General features: G+C 42.0%; 1 pseudogene, besides 1 other annotated feature; it reads left to right on the top strand.

Annotated features, from left to right (window-relative positions):
• Window positions 5,785-6,984: an enhancer, noted in NCBI's record as "BRD4-independent group 4 enhancer chr10:29194458-29195657 (GRCh37/hg19 assembly coordinates)". NCBI's record gives its function as "activates an origin of replication core promoter dependent on BRD2, P300/CBP, MED14 and CDK7 cofactors, and independent of BRD4, by STARR-seq in HCT116 cells {active_cell/tissue: HCT116}" and the evidence as "EXISTENCE:reporter gene assay evidence [ECO:0000049][PMID:35650434]".
• Window positions 12,989-13,563, top strand: RPL21P93 (ribosomal protein L21 pseudogene 93; annotated as a pseudogene).

Genomic DNA, 17,073 nt, shown 5'->3' with positions numbered 1-17,073 from the left:
CAAGACACTCCAAGTGCAGACACAAGCTCTGCCTGTACTTCCACAATGCACAGAGAGGAGCAGCCCAACTGTTTAATAAAACTGTACTGAAGGCATGGGGCTGACACAATTACAACTCCGAGAAACATTCCCATGCTTATCAAAAGGGGTTCCTCTAGAGGGTCCCGGCTCTGAACGCCAGCCTTGGGCCTTTGGCCTAGCTCCTGGCTACCTTTTGCCTGGCTAAGCCAAGTCAGCCTCCTCTCCACCAGGCTCCAGGTCTCTTTCCCACCTCCGAATCCAGCTGGAGCCTCTCAGTCCCAGAACTAAGTGGCAGCCTTGCTCATTCCCATCCCAAGATGACTGGGAGCTTCTCCTTCCTAAAAGGGGGACCCTTCAACCACCCACCAGCTGCAATGCAGCCTCCTTGGCCCCAAACACCAGCCCCAATCACCAGTGATTCATTTCCATCTGCTGGTCTTCATAACACCACGCCTGGTGCTGTCGCCCAGATAGCCAGGGTCAAACCTGATTCCATTTCTTTTTATTTTATTTTATTTTATTTTATTTTATTTTATTTTATTTTATTTTATTTTATTTTTTGAGACAGAGTTTCACTCTTGTTGCCCAGGCTGGAGTGCAATGGCATGATCTCAGCTCACTGCAACCTCCGCCTCCTGGGTTCAAGCGATTCTCCTGCCTCAGTCTCCCAAGTAGCTGGGACTACAGGCCCCCACCACAATGCCCAGCTGATTGTTTTTGTATTTTTAGTAGAGACGGGGTTTTGCCATATTGGCCTGTCTGGACTTGAACTTCTGACCTCAAGTGATCCGCCTTTCGCGGCCTCCTAAAGTGCTGGGATTACAGGCATGAGCCACTGTGCCCGGGCAAACCTGATTCAATTTCCTTTCCCAGTCTTTCATCCAGTGTGGAGTAAAGAGAGGGTCGAGATACTTTCTGGGTTAGCTCAGGGTTTGCACTGTCCTAAAACAAATATAATCAGACAAATAGACAAAATATACATGCATTTATACATACAAACAGATATGTACACACATGTGCATGCACACACACACACACACACACACCTTCCCAAGACAGTTTCAGAGACAGTCACTAAAATCTAAATCCATATTCAAAGATGCAGCAAGGACAATGTCCCACTAAAAATGGACTCTATTTATGTTAAACAGAACACATTACTTCTCAGCCTACATTTAAAGTAACATTGAGGATGACGCTCATTACACAAATTATTGTTCTTGGACAAACTGAAGTGTTTATTCTGCTAACTTTTCCCAAAACAAAGGAAGTCACAATCGTGAATTGGTTGCTCAGCCTCTCGTAACTATGAGTAACTTTTAAGGAACAGTTCTACTGCTTTAAAAAATATTTTTCCACTGGGCATCACTACACAATGATGCAGTCATAGCTCAAAATATTTTGGAAATTCCTCCTTTGGAATTGCCTCCAGAGCCAAGAGCACATTCCTTTAGAATAGTCTCAATGGTTATAAACCTTTATACCAAGAAGAAGGTGTATTTGATTCTTAAAATAAACCAAAAATTATTTTAAAATGGAGCTGGTGAATGTAGGTGACCAAATTGGGTGACACTGCTTTGGTATACAAAATGTGGCCCTAAAACATTAGGCAAGTTTTCCTGTGCGAGTCATAAATTATCTGTGAAGGCCATTCACTAAACACACTTTAAAAATTTTTTAACGCAATACATTTTTACTCTGTACCAATCCTTGATGGGGCACAAACCCCGAAAACAACTAATTTCAATGTTAAATGGAAATATTTACAATAGTAGTATGTATGAAACCTCAAGCATCTCAGAAGAGCGGTGCACAGGAGGAGAAGAAGGGTTGGGAAGGGTCTCAGAAAAGGCTTAAGAAACATATGTCATAATAATTAGAGTTTTCGCCATGGCCATCTTGAAGGCCACAGCATTTATTTAGATATATTCATTCAGATATATTTGTTGAAGCCGTTACTCCATTGCTTTATAATCATGCTTCAGAATAAAGGAGCATGAACTTCATTTCACCCCCAGAGTTATTGTAGCAGGACCCAACAAGACATTAATTTTGCCCGTGGTTTTTGACCTTTTTTTGCTTCCTAACACACTTTCAGTTATGATCTTGGGCTTTCTTTGAGCAAAAACCTCTTGGATTCCATACACCATCGTTATTTAGGAAATCCCTTATGACTTCCAAAACATTCACATGTTTTTCCCGGAATAACATTGCACACATTTATATGCGATCACGTTTTCCTGCCCCATGTATGTTTATGAACCCCAGAGCATGTTGCTTAAGGCCAGCCCTTACCGTGTAGTGATATTGCAGCAGCTGCTGAACAGCACCCTGCTATTACAGCCCTGCATCCTGGTGAGGAAGGGAAGAACCCCAAGGATGGGCTGGGGACGTGGAGGCACACAGGCAAAGTGGGGTTCCTCCAGATGGCGTTCCATCCCAGCTCTATGACTGCCTGAGTAAAGAGTGCCTTGGGGCTTTGGGTGGCAGGTTTTACTAGTCAGGCCTCCATTTATATCTCCCCTAAAAGCCTGAAACACCAATGGCTCCTCTTGAGTTTCTCAGTCACAGTGGAGAGTGGCTCCAAGGCCCTTTCCCAGGAAAATTCAGAAGGGGTAATGACCTCAGAGTTTTCACCTGTGGCACCGGCCTGAGTTTCTCATGAGGCACCGGACTGTCATTTCTCATCAAAATCGTCTCTTGAACTTCTAAAGTAAACACCAGGAGGAAAAGGAATGAAATGGCTTTGCAACTGTGGAAATTGTACTATGTCCGGTCTACAGGGTGAAATGAGTTGCTATTTCACTAGGCCAGGTACCTATACCCTTATGAATCAAACAGCAAAAGAGGTGAAAAGGAACTTTAGCCACGTCTAAATTTCACCTAGACCCACTGTTTTATACTTTTCTTTGACTTGCTCTATAAATATTTTACTACAACTTTCAAAGTTTATAGGGTCCTTAAGACTTGTAAAAGGGTTGAGTAACTAGAAACCAATGACTGATACCTACCACAGGGATCTTGATTTTTTTTCTTCTTCTTCTTAAGATTCCATGGAACAGATTTCATTCTACCCAGGATTCCTTGAAAGGTGGCTTGAAACTCATCTCTCAATTGAAGTCATGAATCTGCAGGGGACAAAGAAAAATGGCATCCACATATCAACTCTAATTGATTTGGGGGCACTCTCCAGAGAGTCAGGAATCTGGTTTAGGTCCCAGACCTATAGCTTCCAGGGCTCAGACTCCTCAGAAGCTAAGGGTATGTGCCCCGATGACCTGGATCCCTGGTGCTGGCATCACATCCAGATTCCCCAAAGCAGAGAGGGCCCAGTCACCTGGTCCTACTGCATTCTGGGAATGACAGACATGCCACTGGTTTTAAAAGGATGTATTTCCAATGGACCCTTCACCAAGTTGCAAATTTTAATTGTATAATAGAGAAATATGCATGAGTGTCTTCTGGTTTCCAGCGACTTGAGTTTTGTTGGTTATTGAACTAATTATCCTGATTCCTAAATCCCATAAAAGTACATAGGACTATAGTTATCAGTCTAGGCAAAATTAATTCACTTGTACATTTGGATACATTTGTTCTAATGACTGAATCGTGTATCTCTTTTCTTCAAAAATACAGAGTTTGGCCAGTGCACGGCAGCTCACACCTGTAATCCTGGCACTTTAGGAGGCTGAACTGAGAGGATCACTTGTGTCAAGGTGTTCCAGACCAGCCTGGGCAACATATCAAGACCTCGTCTCTGCAAAACGTTTTAAACTTAGCTGGGCATGGTGGCACACACTTGTAGTCTTATCTACTCTAGAGGCTAAGGCTGGAGGAACAGTTGAGCCCAGGAGGTTGAGGCTGCAATGAGCTATGATACCCCAATATGATTGCCCCACTGGGTGACAGAATGAAAGTCTGTCTAAAAAATTTTTTAGAAATAAGAATAATACAGGTTTATAGATCAAAATGTGGCTCCTGAAATATTAGTTTTGAGCTTCAATTCAATAAGAAAGCCATCGTATTAGTCCATTCTCGCACTGCTATAAAGAAGTACCTGAGACTGTGTAATTTATAAAGGAAAGAGGTTTGATTGACTCACAGTTCCAAAAGGCTGGGGAGGCCTCAGGAAACTTACAATCATGGTGGAAGGTGAAGGGAAAGCAAGGACCTTCTTCACATGGCAGCAGGAGAGAGAAGTCCAAGCTGAGGAGATGCCATATGCTTATAAAACCATCAGATCTCGTGAAGAGTCACTCCTGTCATAAGAACAGCATGGGGAAAACCACCCCCATGATCCAATCACCTCCTACCAGACCCCGCCCTCCACACATGGGGATTATGGGAATTACAATTCTAGATGAGATTTGGGTGGGGACACGGGGCCAAACTATATCAGCCATACAGGAAGGGAGCGTGAGAAGCTGAAGGTTATGGTTCTTATGCTTTCTAAGTGTCTTCCAGGCCCTGAGCCCACTGTCTCACCTCCACAGTGCAGATATGCCTTAAACACAATTAAAACTGAAACCAACATTAAACAGAACTAAATGTAAGAAATTAACAGAAATTAATTACCACATATCAGAGAGACAATCGCCTGTTTAAAGCTTTAATATGAAAGATACTTCTTTGAACATAAAAACCCCAACTCTCACATATTTTCAAGGTAGTTTTGTACATTAGAAAATAATTCTCTGTATTCCGTGATGAACGATTCATCGTGGAATGCCTTTTAAAAAACAAAGACATTGAAAATGTGGTTGCAGGCTGGGCACAGTGGCTCACGCCCATAATCCCAGCACTTTGGGAGACTGAGGCAGGCAGATCACTTGAGCCCAGGAGTTCGAGATCAGCCCGGGCAACATGGCAAAACCCTGTCTCTACAAAGAAAATTTTAAAAAAATTAGCTGGTCATGTTGGTACATACCTGTAGTCCTAGCTACTTGGTGAGGCTGAGGCCAGAGGATTGCTTGAGTCTGGGAGGGAGGCAGAGGTTGCAGTGAACTATGATCATGCCACTACACTCCTCACCCTGGTCAACAGAGTGAGACCCTGTCTCCAAAAACAAAAAAGAAAAACTGTGATTGCAGACACAAACACTTAAACATAACTCTGCAAACTTTTCTGTTACCTTTGAAAACCTATTTCCGTACAGGGAGGAAAAAAACCCTTAGCCTTGTTTTGATAGGGAAATTTGATTACTCATTTGAATAGACTGAGTATGATAGTTATTTGACTTTTGAAAATGTTTCAGGTCTCCTTCCTCTCTGCTATCTTAGGATCTGAGCTTCCTGAAATTTTGAACCAAGGGCCATGAAATACATTTTCTTAGCCTTTGCTATAACATTCAGCATTAAACAGAAGACAAGAAGTGTGGCCGGACATGGTGACTCATGCCTGTAATCCCAGCACTTTGGGAAGCCAAGGAAGGCAGATCACTATAGGCCAGGAGTTCCAGACCAGTCTGGGCAACATGAGGAAATACTGTCTCTACCAAAAGTGCAAAACATTAGCCAGGTGTGGTGGTGCGCGCCTGTGGTCCCAGCTACTCAGGAGGCTGAGGTGGGATGATTGCTTGAGCCTGGGAGGTGGAGGCTACAGTGAGCCAAGATTGATCGCCACTGCACTCCAGCCTGGGTGACAAAGTGAGACTCCATCTCAAGAAAAAGAAAAAAAAGAAGAAGAAGAAGGCATGAGGTGAGAGGCAGGGAATATTCTTACAAATCCAGGATGGTTTCTTGGAGGAAATGGTCTTTCTGTTTTCAGTCCTTTATTTTATTCTTATTATGACTCAGGGACATGCTTTCCTTTGTATATTTGATCATCAAAAGATCCTTTCCATATTTGGAAAATTCTGTGCTTATGTTTGACTTTCTTGTTTTACATGGAGTGGGGGCGGGCGGGGAGGCAATTCCTGAAGTACAACGGGCCTCATCACAGAGGTTATACTTGCTCAGTGGAGTGTGATATTCATGTCTTTCTGTGCTGGATGCGTTTTTTCTTTTTAATATAGACATAAGCACTTTGCATTTCCATATGCATTTTGACTAGGTAAGTAAGACATAAGATTGGCCACTTTCACATTTTTTCTGCTTCAAGCAACTAAATTGTACACGCTATACTGACGACAGGCACAGCTTGGCACCAAACTGGATGTGAGGGGAAGATTTGGGGTGTGCCAGAGAAGCATCCGCAGACTTCAGAGCCTGCTGGTTCTTTTGAAAATAATCGCCGAGTTTCATCTGCTATCACCTGCTTTGCCTGCGTTCCTTTTGATAACTGCCTTCCTTTCAGGGCTGACTGAATAAGAGTTATTGATTTAGTGCTTCAAGATCTCACAAGATTCAGTCATGAAAATGAGATCTGGCCTCGGGGGAGAAAACCGCTTCCTGCCCAGCACAGAGCCCAAGCAGGGACAGTGGCCGGATCTGTTCAGTGCTCATTAACGAGGTAACTTTGCCATTTATCAAAGCGCAGGACCAGTCTGGTGAGCCAAAACCAGAATATGAAAATAGATCTTTCTTCTGAAGTTCAGATGTGAAATATTTTCCGTGTTTCCAAGAATTTTTTTTTAAAGCCTCAACTTTTGTCCATACCATAATTTTCTGGGAGTTTTCCTAATTAAAAATGCTGATGGGTATGGACTGTGTCCTTTCATAGAGAAGGCATTTAAGGGCATCTACAACTCACAAGTTCAATAAGATCACCCAGCATTAACATGCCTTTGATGAGGCATTCGTTTATTATCTCTAGTTATTTCTCAATAATCACACAACTGGCCTAATGACACAATGGGCTTTATAATAATGAATTTTCAAAAGAAAGCAAACATTTCCTTTGAGGCTATATTCTCCAATGAATTTGGCATGCCCTGGTTTGAAGACTTTCATCTCCAAATAGGCTGGGGTTTCTCTTTTATCTAGCGGCCTGCCTTGCTGAAACCTTCTCCGACACACAAAGGAAAGTCTAAAAAATGTCCAGTTCTATCCAAGACTTCAAAAGTGCTCAGGGAGCCAGATAAAATCTGTCCCAGGATTTTTTCTCTCCCCGATAAACGTTTAGGAAAACCTTACTTCTGAGTCCAGGGCTACTTGGCTAGGACTGAAGATGCTAATGAAAAAGTGTTTCACTTAGGAACCTTGAGTGAGTCAAAATTAGAGAAGGCTTGTTACCCAAAGGCCTGTGGTTTTATTATACAAGGCCCATATACTTCACCAAGGCTGGTAAAGTCATTCAAACAACGACGTGTCAAAAGACAGAATATAGGCAAAAGTTCTGACCCATCTGGTTGGTTGTGGCATCTCCTAACTCAAACACCTTTGAAAAAACCCTCGTAAAAGGTGAATATAAGGCCTGTTAGGCCTCAGAACACAGTGGTTGTAGGACAGAAACCTTCGATCACAGGACACTAGAAACACTCTCCAGATCAAAGTCATTCTAGTAATTGTCATTGTGCATTATGGAAAACCGAGTCCTGGGTTTGTGCCTTCCTTCCCCAGAACATGATTATTACTGAAACAGATGCATGTTGGATTTCCAGATTGTGAAGCTAAGCTGTAAGGGTCTGCCTTGTCATGACCTTACTGGCTGTGCATGGTCTAAACTCAACTACCTCCCAGTCTCCAGACTGAACATCTTAATGTATTAACTTAGAATATACTTCTTGTAAGCTTTCTTCCAACCCGGGTTCTACTCATTTTGTTGGTCAAACAAACAAACAAAAAATTCAATCTAAAATCCACAGTTACACAAGGATATGAATGTAAGAAAGGCTGAACGTGAATGATTCCAGGATAGAAGAAGTTAATAAACCAATTAACAAAATCTGTGAGCATTGCTAACCTTCAAAAGAGGAGGATAAGGTTACATTTTGTTTAAAGACAAAAAAAAAATCCTAATTAGTATCATGCTCTAAAATATACCTTTTATTGAAAGCTAAGTTTTTATTTTTAATTAGTTCAATAAATGGCAATGGGCAGCCTTCTCCTACTTAGCGAACTCACCAGGCTGTAGAATTGTTGTAGGAAATTAGCTCCATTTCAGTCTTTGATCCTTGAAGACCAAAGTGTGCAATTTTGCTGGAGTAGTGTCGGTCGTTTGTAAGACCTTAGTGAAAGAAAAGTCTTAGTGTCCCTTAAAACTCCTTTAAATATGTAAAAATGCACAATGTCAGGGACCAGGACCCCGTCTACATTAAACAAAGAACAAAGTCGATCACTTCCCATAAAGGGAAGGATTTACATTAAACTTTCCCCAGCAGAAAAAGAAAACAGAAATTAAAAAGATCAGACTGTGTTTTCTAGGGAAATCTCTGCATCTCCTTTTGTGCCTAATAATCTTCATTTACTGGGACACCTAAGCTTCTTTGTGACTTTTCATCTAAATATATATCCAAAGTTGTCTTCACTGCCTCATTAAAGTAAAATAATATCACAAGGTAACAAGTGTTTACGTTAAAAAAAGTTTGTTTGTTTTTTAATCCCAGGCAATGACTTTTTTTCAAGCTATGCAATAATAAGACACTCCCTGAAAGTTTGTTTTATTTGCCTCTGGGCTTGTCGTTTTCATTTTCCTGCCCTTTGCTTACTTTTCTGTTGCTACTAAAAGGTAAACTTATTCAGGCATCTGTGTGTGTGTGTGTGTGTGCACGCACGCGTGTGTTTATATTATTTATTGATATACATCTTAAATAACGAACTTTGCAAAATAAAATCACATTATGATGAGTTTTTTTAATCCTATTCTTAATTCTCTAATGGAGTTTCCTTGCTTTGCTTAAAATAAGTGGACCACTGTTTGCCTTTGAATTTCTTTTCCATGAAAATATTCTTTTAAATATATGCTTGCTTTAATAGCATTTAACCTGGTAATTTTGTTGTGACTGGTGCTAGCTAAAATTTGAGAACAGCCTCATGTCCACAAATGTTATATACCTTTATGCAGCTAGAATGGTTTGCCAAACATTTGCTCTATATTCCAGATTTATGATCTACCTTCATTCCTCTGTGGCCCCTAGTTTTCAGCCATATTTTCACATCATCCTTCTCTCCTCCCCACACAGGTTCAAAGTTCCATTTTCCCAGGATTCTTCTCAAAGCTCAGCAAGTATATCAAATTTCCACTTCAGCATAGTGGGACTATCTCATACAATCTGCAACTTTCAATCTCATATACAATGATATTTTAATTGTGTGTCTTACTTGCAAGATATCTGATCATGCGGTATTAAGCAAGTCCCTATATTTACTTTGGAGCAATATTTCTTTCCTAGGGCTCATTTGGCCGGCTTCACATGCTAGTGTAATAATATATCATACACAAACTTAGGGAAGAAATTAGAAAAACAGTCTATTCAGAAGAAGTATTTAAGAAGTCTACTGGGTTGGAAGACTTTCTCCCCTAGTTGAGATCATTTTATTTTTCTTAAAAAAAATTAATCTATAAATTATGTCCTAGGAGAAAACCTCACAGTGGATATTGTAAGCACCAAATCCCTTTGTACCCTTTATTTGTGTAGCAAACCATCTCCATGCCTTGTGAGAACCATATTGTTCTTCAAGATGGCAGGCTCTGGAGCAGAATTCCCTGCCTCTCAATGGCTGGGCCCTTCTCTGAGTTGGGACTAAGCCACCCTGCCTCCTGTAGTTCCATGGGCCTCACCTGGCCTGCACGCGGTATTCCTGGTTTGAATTCATCTGTGCCATTCTCCTCCCCTGCCAGATACTCGAGGATACCCATTCCCACAGTCTAGAAAACAGTTCTTAGCTGTTAGCTAAGAAACTGATCTCTATCTCTGCGTTTACAAAAACAGAATCCCCATCCCTGAACCTTCAGCTTTTATAAAGGTACTTTTGTTGAGGTGGCCACTGATTTGCTGGCATTGTATTTATGTTCAGTCTCCCATAAATGGCTGCTTGGAGCAGCCGACCACAAGAATTCCTCCCTATCTCCTTCTCCTTCCATTGTAGCTGCATAAAGGAATATAACATTGGTGGATGTGAGGTGATTCTCCAGTTGCTTTTTTTCTTGGAGACGGGGTCTTGCTATGTTGCCCAGGCTGGTCTTGAACTCTTGGCTTCAAGCGATCCTCCTGCCTCAGCCTCCCAAGTGGCTGTGATCACAGATGTGAGCCACCATGACTGGCTGCAATTAGTTAACACCAATCACAAGAAAACTACCAGGTTAAATACATATCTTTATATTTAATATATATATTTATATACATATAAATATATAGATATTTCTATATATAAATATAGATACATTTATATATAAAAATATAGATATTTCTATATATATAGATATATTTATATATAAATATAGATATTTCTATATATATAGATATATTTATATATAAATATAGATATTTCTATATATAGATATATTTATATATAAAAATATATAGATATTTCTATATATAAATATAGATATATTTATATATAAAAATATATAGATATTTCTCTATATAAATATAGATATATTTATATATAAAAATATATGCATATATAAAATATAAAGATATATACATATAAATATATATGTATATTTAACCTGGTAGTTTTGTTGTGACTGGTGTTAAATATATATATATATATATACATATATATATATATATGTATATATATATATACATATATATATATATGTATATATATATATACATATATATATATATGTATATATATGTATTGGTATATATATACATATTGGTATATATATACGAAATTGATGCTGAGGCTAATTCTAAACCCTTATTCCCAATCTGTTTACCTTGCACCAGGGTTTGTAAAGGGCAAAAACAGCAACAACAGAACACTTGGTACCAAAGGAAAAGGGAGAGTAACTAACACCTCATGCTGGCTCTTGCTCTCTGCCTCCCCGTATCCCTCTCTCCACATCTCATTGTTCCACTTAACTATTGCTGTGGAACAAATCACCCCCAAAAGTTAGCCACTTCATACAGACAGCTCTTTATGCTTGCAAATTTGGTGGGTCAGGGTTTTGGTCAGAGTACAGGGAAAATGGCTTGCTCAGCTACACCTGGAACCTCAAATGGAAAAACTCTACAGCTAGGGGTGACGAAATGGCTACAGACTGGAATCTTCTGGAAGCACTTTCACTTGTATGCCTTGTGGTTGATGCCGGCTGTCAGTTGGGACCTCAGTCAGAGCACTTACATGCGCCATCTCCACGTGGTCTGGACTTCGTCACAAGATGGCCGGCTCAGGGTCCTGTTGCAGGTATCCCAGTGAACAAGGTGAAAACTGTGTCACTTTTTCCAACTGAGTCGTGAAAGTCATGCAGTATTCTATTGGCTAGAAGAAAGTAATGAGCCCACCTAGATTTAAGGGGAGAGGATATAGACCCAGCCTCTTAATGGGAGTAGTGTCAAAAAATTTGCACTCATTTTTTTAAACTACCACGCTTATCAACATTTTCCCTTAACGGCAATATTTTTAGTGCTTTCAAAACTATCTCTTCATAAGTTTTCCCCCAGCACACACACACACATTCTACAATGCACTTTAACATAGGATATTTATGTTTCATTTTTCTCTGAATATACCTGACATTTCGTCCTTTATCTGTACAAGATAACCAAAAAAAATGTGGCTGAAAAAAATTAAACTTATGGGGAAAGACCAAAGAAAAGAATCTAGATTCAAAGGCAGGAGAACCGGGAGAGCCCAGTGGTCTGAGTTGCAGTCTGGGACCGAAAGCAGAAGGATACAGATATCCCCACTCAAGGCCATCAAGCAGAGAGAGCAACTTCTCCATTCCCCACCTTCTGTTCTACTCAGGCCTCCAAAGGATTGAACGGGCCTCACCCACATTGAAGAGAGCAACCTGCTTCACTCAATCCACTCGTTCAAATGTGAATTTCACCCAGAGACACCCTCCCAGACACACCCAGAAGAATGTCTAACCAAATATCTGGGACTTCATGTCTCAGTCACGTTGACACATAACATTAACCATTACATTCACAAAGATATAGGAACCTATTCTCAAATTCATACATTTGTTCATTCACTAAACAAATATTTATTAATGTTTAATGTGCCAGGTATGGTGATATAAGCTGAGAATACAATGAGAAAAAAAAAAGCAAAGAAGTAATACAAGGACATATTTCCTATCTATATCAACCTATTTCATCTCTGATAAGTCTAGATTATAAAATAGTATAATAATAGTACAGTAATTAAAAGTAAAATTTTGTTCCTTTAACCTGAAAATTGGGCCATCCTCTAAGTTGAAGAAAATATTTTTCTACCCCATGTTATCTCAGAAGTTACACAGCAGCTTCTATTTTGTACTGTTAATCTGAAATTGGGAAAAATGTACACAAAATTCCCAAGTACATATTCATATTTAATTCATTCTCCACATGCCTATGTGCCATTAATGTCAAAGGTTTCATTTCATTTCAACTGGTAATAATTTAAAGCCCACCAAGAGATGGAATGGTTTGAGAAATACCATAAACAATGTACAATTATGACTGCCTATTTTTCCCCAATTTTATCATGCCATAATTGGCTAAAGACTTTTTTTTTTTGAGACGGAGTCTCGCTCTGTTGCCCAGGCTGGAGTGCAGTGGTGTGATCTCGGCTCACTGCAAGCTCTGCCTCCATGGTTCACGCCATTCTCCTGCCTCAGCCTCCCGAGTAGCTGGGACTACAGGCACCCACCACTACACCTGGCTAATCTTTTTGTATTTTTAGTAGAAACGGGGTTTCACCATGTTGGCCAGGATGGTCTTCATCTCCTGACCTCATGATCCGCCCACTTTGGCCCCCCAAAGTGCTGGGATTACAGGCGTGAGCCACCAAGCCCAGCCGCTAAAGACTTTTTAAGAATCAAATCTACAGTGAAAATTAAAATAAATGGGAATTTTTCTATTTTAAAAGCTCTCCTGTCACAGTTATTTTAACACATATAAAATGCAAGATAGAAATTTCTGCCTTTTGGCCGGCACCGCCATCTTCCAGTAATTCGCCAAAGTGACGAACACAAAGAGAAAGAGGAGGGGCACCCGATATATGTTCTTTAGGCCTTTTAGAAAACATGGAGTTGTTCCTTTGGCCACATATATGCGAATCTATAAGAAAGGTGATATTGTAGACATCAAGGGAATGGGTACTGTTCAAAAAGGAATGCCCCACAAGTGTTACCATGGCAAAACTGGAAGAGTCTACAATGTTACCCAGCATGCTGTTGGCATTGTTGTAAACACACAAGTTAAGGGCAAGATTCTTGCCAAGAGAATTAATGTGTTTATTGAGCACATTAAGCACTCTAAGAGCCGAGACAGCTTCCTGAAACGCATGAAGGAAAATGATCAGAAAAAGAAAGAAGCCAAAGAGAAAGGTACCTGGGTTCAACTAAAGCGCCAGCCTGCTCCACCCAGAGAAGCACACTTTGTGAGAACCAATGGGAAGGAGCCTGAGCTGCTGGAACCTATTCCCTATGAATTCATGGCATAATAGGTGTTAAAAAAAAATAATAAAGGATCTCTGGGCTACAAAAAAAAAAAAAGAAATTTCTGCCTTTTAGATACCTCTTTAATGGTGTTACAGTCATCATCACAGTTATAAGTATGTTGATATCAATAACAATCATTATTTGGATATTTATATGTATGGTGCTAAGTAACTATTTCCATTCTCATTCAATTCAGAAACATGAGTCAGGTTTTAAATGCATCTATATTTCTAACTGGTATGAGTATATAGGAAAAATATCTAATGCATCAATGTGTCCATAGAGCTTTATCATCTATCATATATTTATAAACATATAAATATCAATATATATGTACAGAGAGAAGGAAAGGATTTTTAAGAACATAACTATATATATTACAATGCTTTGTAAAGGACATGATCCATCTGTTCATACATATTTGGGGTTGAATAACATTCTAAAGATTATATGAAGAATGTTCCCAATTTACAGTCAAGGCAGCTGAGGCCTTTAAAAGTTAAATTTCTACCCATGTTTTTTCTCATCTGCTGCTTTCCCCAACACTCCTCAATGTTTCTTTACAACTGTATGTTTTCATAAAAGCAAATAAAAATATAAAATTTACATTTGCTTTAATCACAGTGTACAGTATACACAGTGAACGGTATTCTTCTAGCACTGAGTAACTTGGACATCACCTTGCATCATTTCTAATTTCCCCAAATAGGCAAAGTCAACGTCAAGGTTAAAACTATCACGTGTTGAACTTCCTTTCTGTGTTCAGTGAGTGCAAAACATGCTCCTTTTTGAGAATTCCCAGAGGTTATTCAGGGTTATTGAGGCATAAAGAAAACAGGGCTCACAACCCAAAGCCATTGTTTCCTTCCCTGAGCTTCATTAAGACTTTGCTGCCCATCAGCCCGGTACCAGAGAGCCAAACTCGAGAGCTCAGGCTCATAGATTTGGTATCAGTCCGGAAAGCACGAGTGTGAAATGGAAGCCACATTCACTTAGTTCCCCTTACAGAAGTGTCAGCTCCACTCAGAAACCGACTGTCTTCCCTGCCAGCGAAGGAGAGGAGAGTGCTTTGTCTCGTTCATTCCATCACACAAAACCATTTGATGAGCTTGACAGCATTGCTTGCTAATTACGGGGCAAGCTTCTCAGCACGAGGTTTGTTGCATCAACAGGTCCCCGAACAATCCAGCAATTGTCTGGGGGAAGCTCGGCCACTCGGGGTTGAGCACTTTTACGTCAATTATCCCCACCGGTTGTCATGACTTGGAGCCGCTCTAGTGGAATGAAGGGAACAAAACGATACGGAACGCTGAGGCCTGCACACAGCAAATTGGCTCCAGAAAACATTCCGGTTGTATCTATGTTTCTGGCTGTTGACGATATGATGAGAGGTCGCTGTCCCACACCACCCCTGCTCCAGGAAAACATGAAAGAGCGCCCATTTGGGAGAGTCTAGCATTTAGATAGAAAGGGCTCATTCCATAGAAATGTAATCATTTTCAACCCAGTCTATGTCTGCTAGGAGTTTGTGATTTTTGAAATATGAACAAAAAGGTTGAAAAAATAAATTCTCTTTCATTCTTGGCTTTTCTGTTTTTTGTTTGTTTCTTTTTGGAAAGAGAGGGAGGTAGAAGTAGGGGAAGATGGGAAACAATATACTATTGAGAGGTGACAGCGTGCTGGCAGTCCTCACAGCCCTCGCTCGCTCTCGGCACCTCCTCTGCCTGGGCTCCCACTTTGGCGGCACTTCAGGAGCCCTTCAGCCCGTCGCTGCACTGTGGGAGCCCCTTTCTGTGCTGGCCAAGGCCGGAGCCAGCTCCCTCAGCTTGCGAGGAGGTGTGGAGGGAGAGGCGCGGGCGGGAACCGGAGCTGCGCGCCGTGCTTGCGGGCCAGCGCGAGTTCCGGGTGGGCGTGGGCTCGGCGGACCCTGCACTCGGAGCGGCCGGCCGGCCCCACCGGCCCGGGCAGTGAGGGGCTTAGCACCTGGGCCAGCAGCTGCTGTGCTCAATTTCTTGCTGGGCCTTAGCTGCCTTCCCGTGGGGCAGGGCTCGGGACCTGCAGCCTGCCATGCCTGAGCCTCCCCGCCCCTCCGTGGGCTCCTGTGCAGCCCGAGCCTCCGCGACGAGCGCCGCCCCCTGCTCCACAGCGCCCAGTCCCATCGACCACCCAAGGGCTGAGGAGTGCGGGTGGATGGCGCGGGACTGGCAGGCAGCCCCATCTGCAGCTCCGGTGCGGGATCCACTGGGTGAAGCCAGCTGGGCTCCTGAGTCTGGTGGGGACGTGGAGAACCTTTGTGTCTAGCTCAGGGATTGTAAATACACCAATCGGCACTCTGTATCTAGCTCAAGGTTTGTAAACACACCAATCAGCACCCTGTGTCTAGCTCAGGGTTTGTGAATGCACCAATCCACACTCCGTATCTAGCTACTCTGGTGGGGCCTTGGAGAACCCTTGTGTCTAGCTCAGGGATTGTAATTACACCAATGGGCACTCTGTATCTAGCTCAAGGTTTGTAAACACACCAATCAGCACCCTGTGTCTAGCTCAGGGTTTGTGAATGCACCAATGGACACTCTAGCTACTATGGTGGGGCCTTGGAGAACCTTTGTGTGGACACTCTGTGTCTAGCTAATCTGGTGGGGAGGTGGAGAACCTTTATGTGGACACTCTGTGTCTAGCTAATCTGGTGGGGAGGTGGAGAACCTTTGTGTCTTCCTCAGGGATTGTAAACGCACCAGTCAGCGCCCTGTCAAAACAGACCACTCAGCTCTACCAATCAGCAGGATGTGGGTGGGGCCAGATAAGAGAATAAAAGCAGGCTGCCTGAGCCGGCACTGGCAACTCGCTCGGGTCCCCTTCCACACCGTGGAAGCTTTGTTCTTTCGCTGTTTGCAATAAATCTTGCAGCTGCTCACTCTTTGGGTCCACACTGCCTTTATGAGCTGTGACACTCACTGGGAAGGTCTGCAGCTTCACTCCTGAAGCCAACGAGACCACAAACCCACGGGGAGGAATGAACAACTCCAGACACGCCACCTTAAGAGCTGTAACACTCACCGCGAAGGTCCGCAGCTTCACTCCTGAGCCAGAGATACCACGAACCCCCTCAGAAGGAAGAAACTCTGAACACGTCCAAACACCAGAAGGAACAAACTCCGGACACGCCGCCTTTAAGAACTGTAACACTCATCTTGAGGGTCCGCGGCTTCATTCTTGAAGTCAGTGAGACCAAGAACCCACCAATTCCGGACACACTATCTTGATGGATATGGAGTCATAGCGTTTGAAAAGAAAAAAAATATTGAGAACTGAGAAAAGGCACTTTGGGAGGTCGAGGTGGGCAGATCACCTGAGGTCAGGAGTTCAAGACCAGCCTGGACAACACGGTAAAACCCCGTCTCTATTAAAAATACAAAAATTAGATGGGCGTGGTGGCAGGTGACTGTAATCCCAGCTACTTGGGAGGCTGAGACAGGAGGATGGCTGAAACCCAGGAGGCAGAGGTTGCAGTGAGCCGAGACCATGCCATTGCTCTGCAGCCTGGCAACAAGGCATGCCATTGCC

The sequence above is a fragment of the Homo sapiens genome, chromosome 10, assembly GCF_000001405.40.
Source record: "Homo sapiens chromosome 10, GRCh38.p14 Primary Assembly".
Classification (NCBI taxonomy): domain Eukaryota; kingdom Metazoa; phylum Chordata; class Mammalia; order Primates; family Hominidae; genus Homo; species Homo sapiens.
Note: the sequence above shows the minus strand (reverse complement) of the source record. Positions and strands in the feature narration are given on the sequence as shown.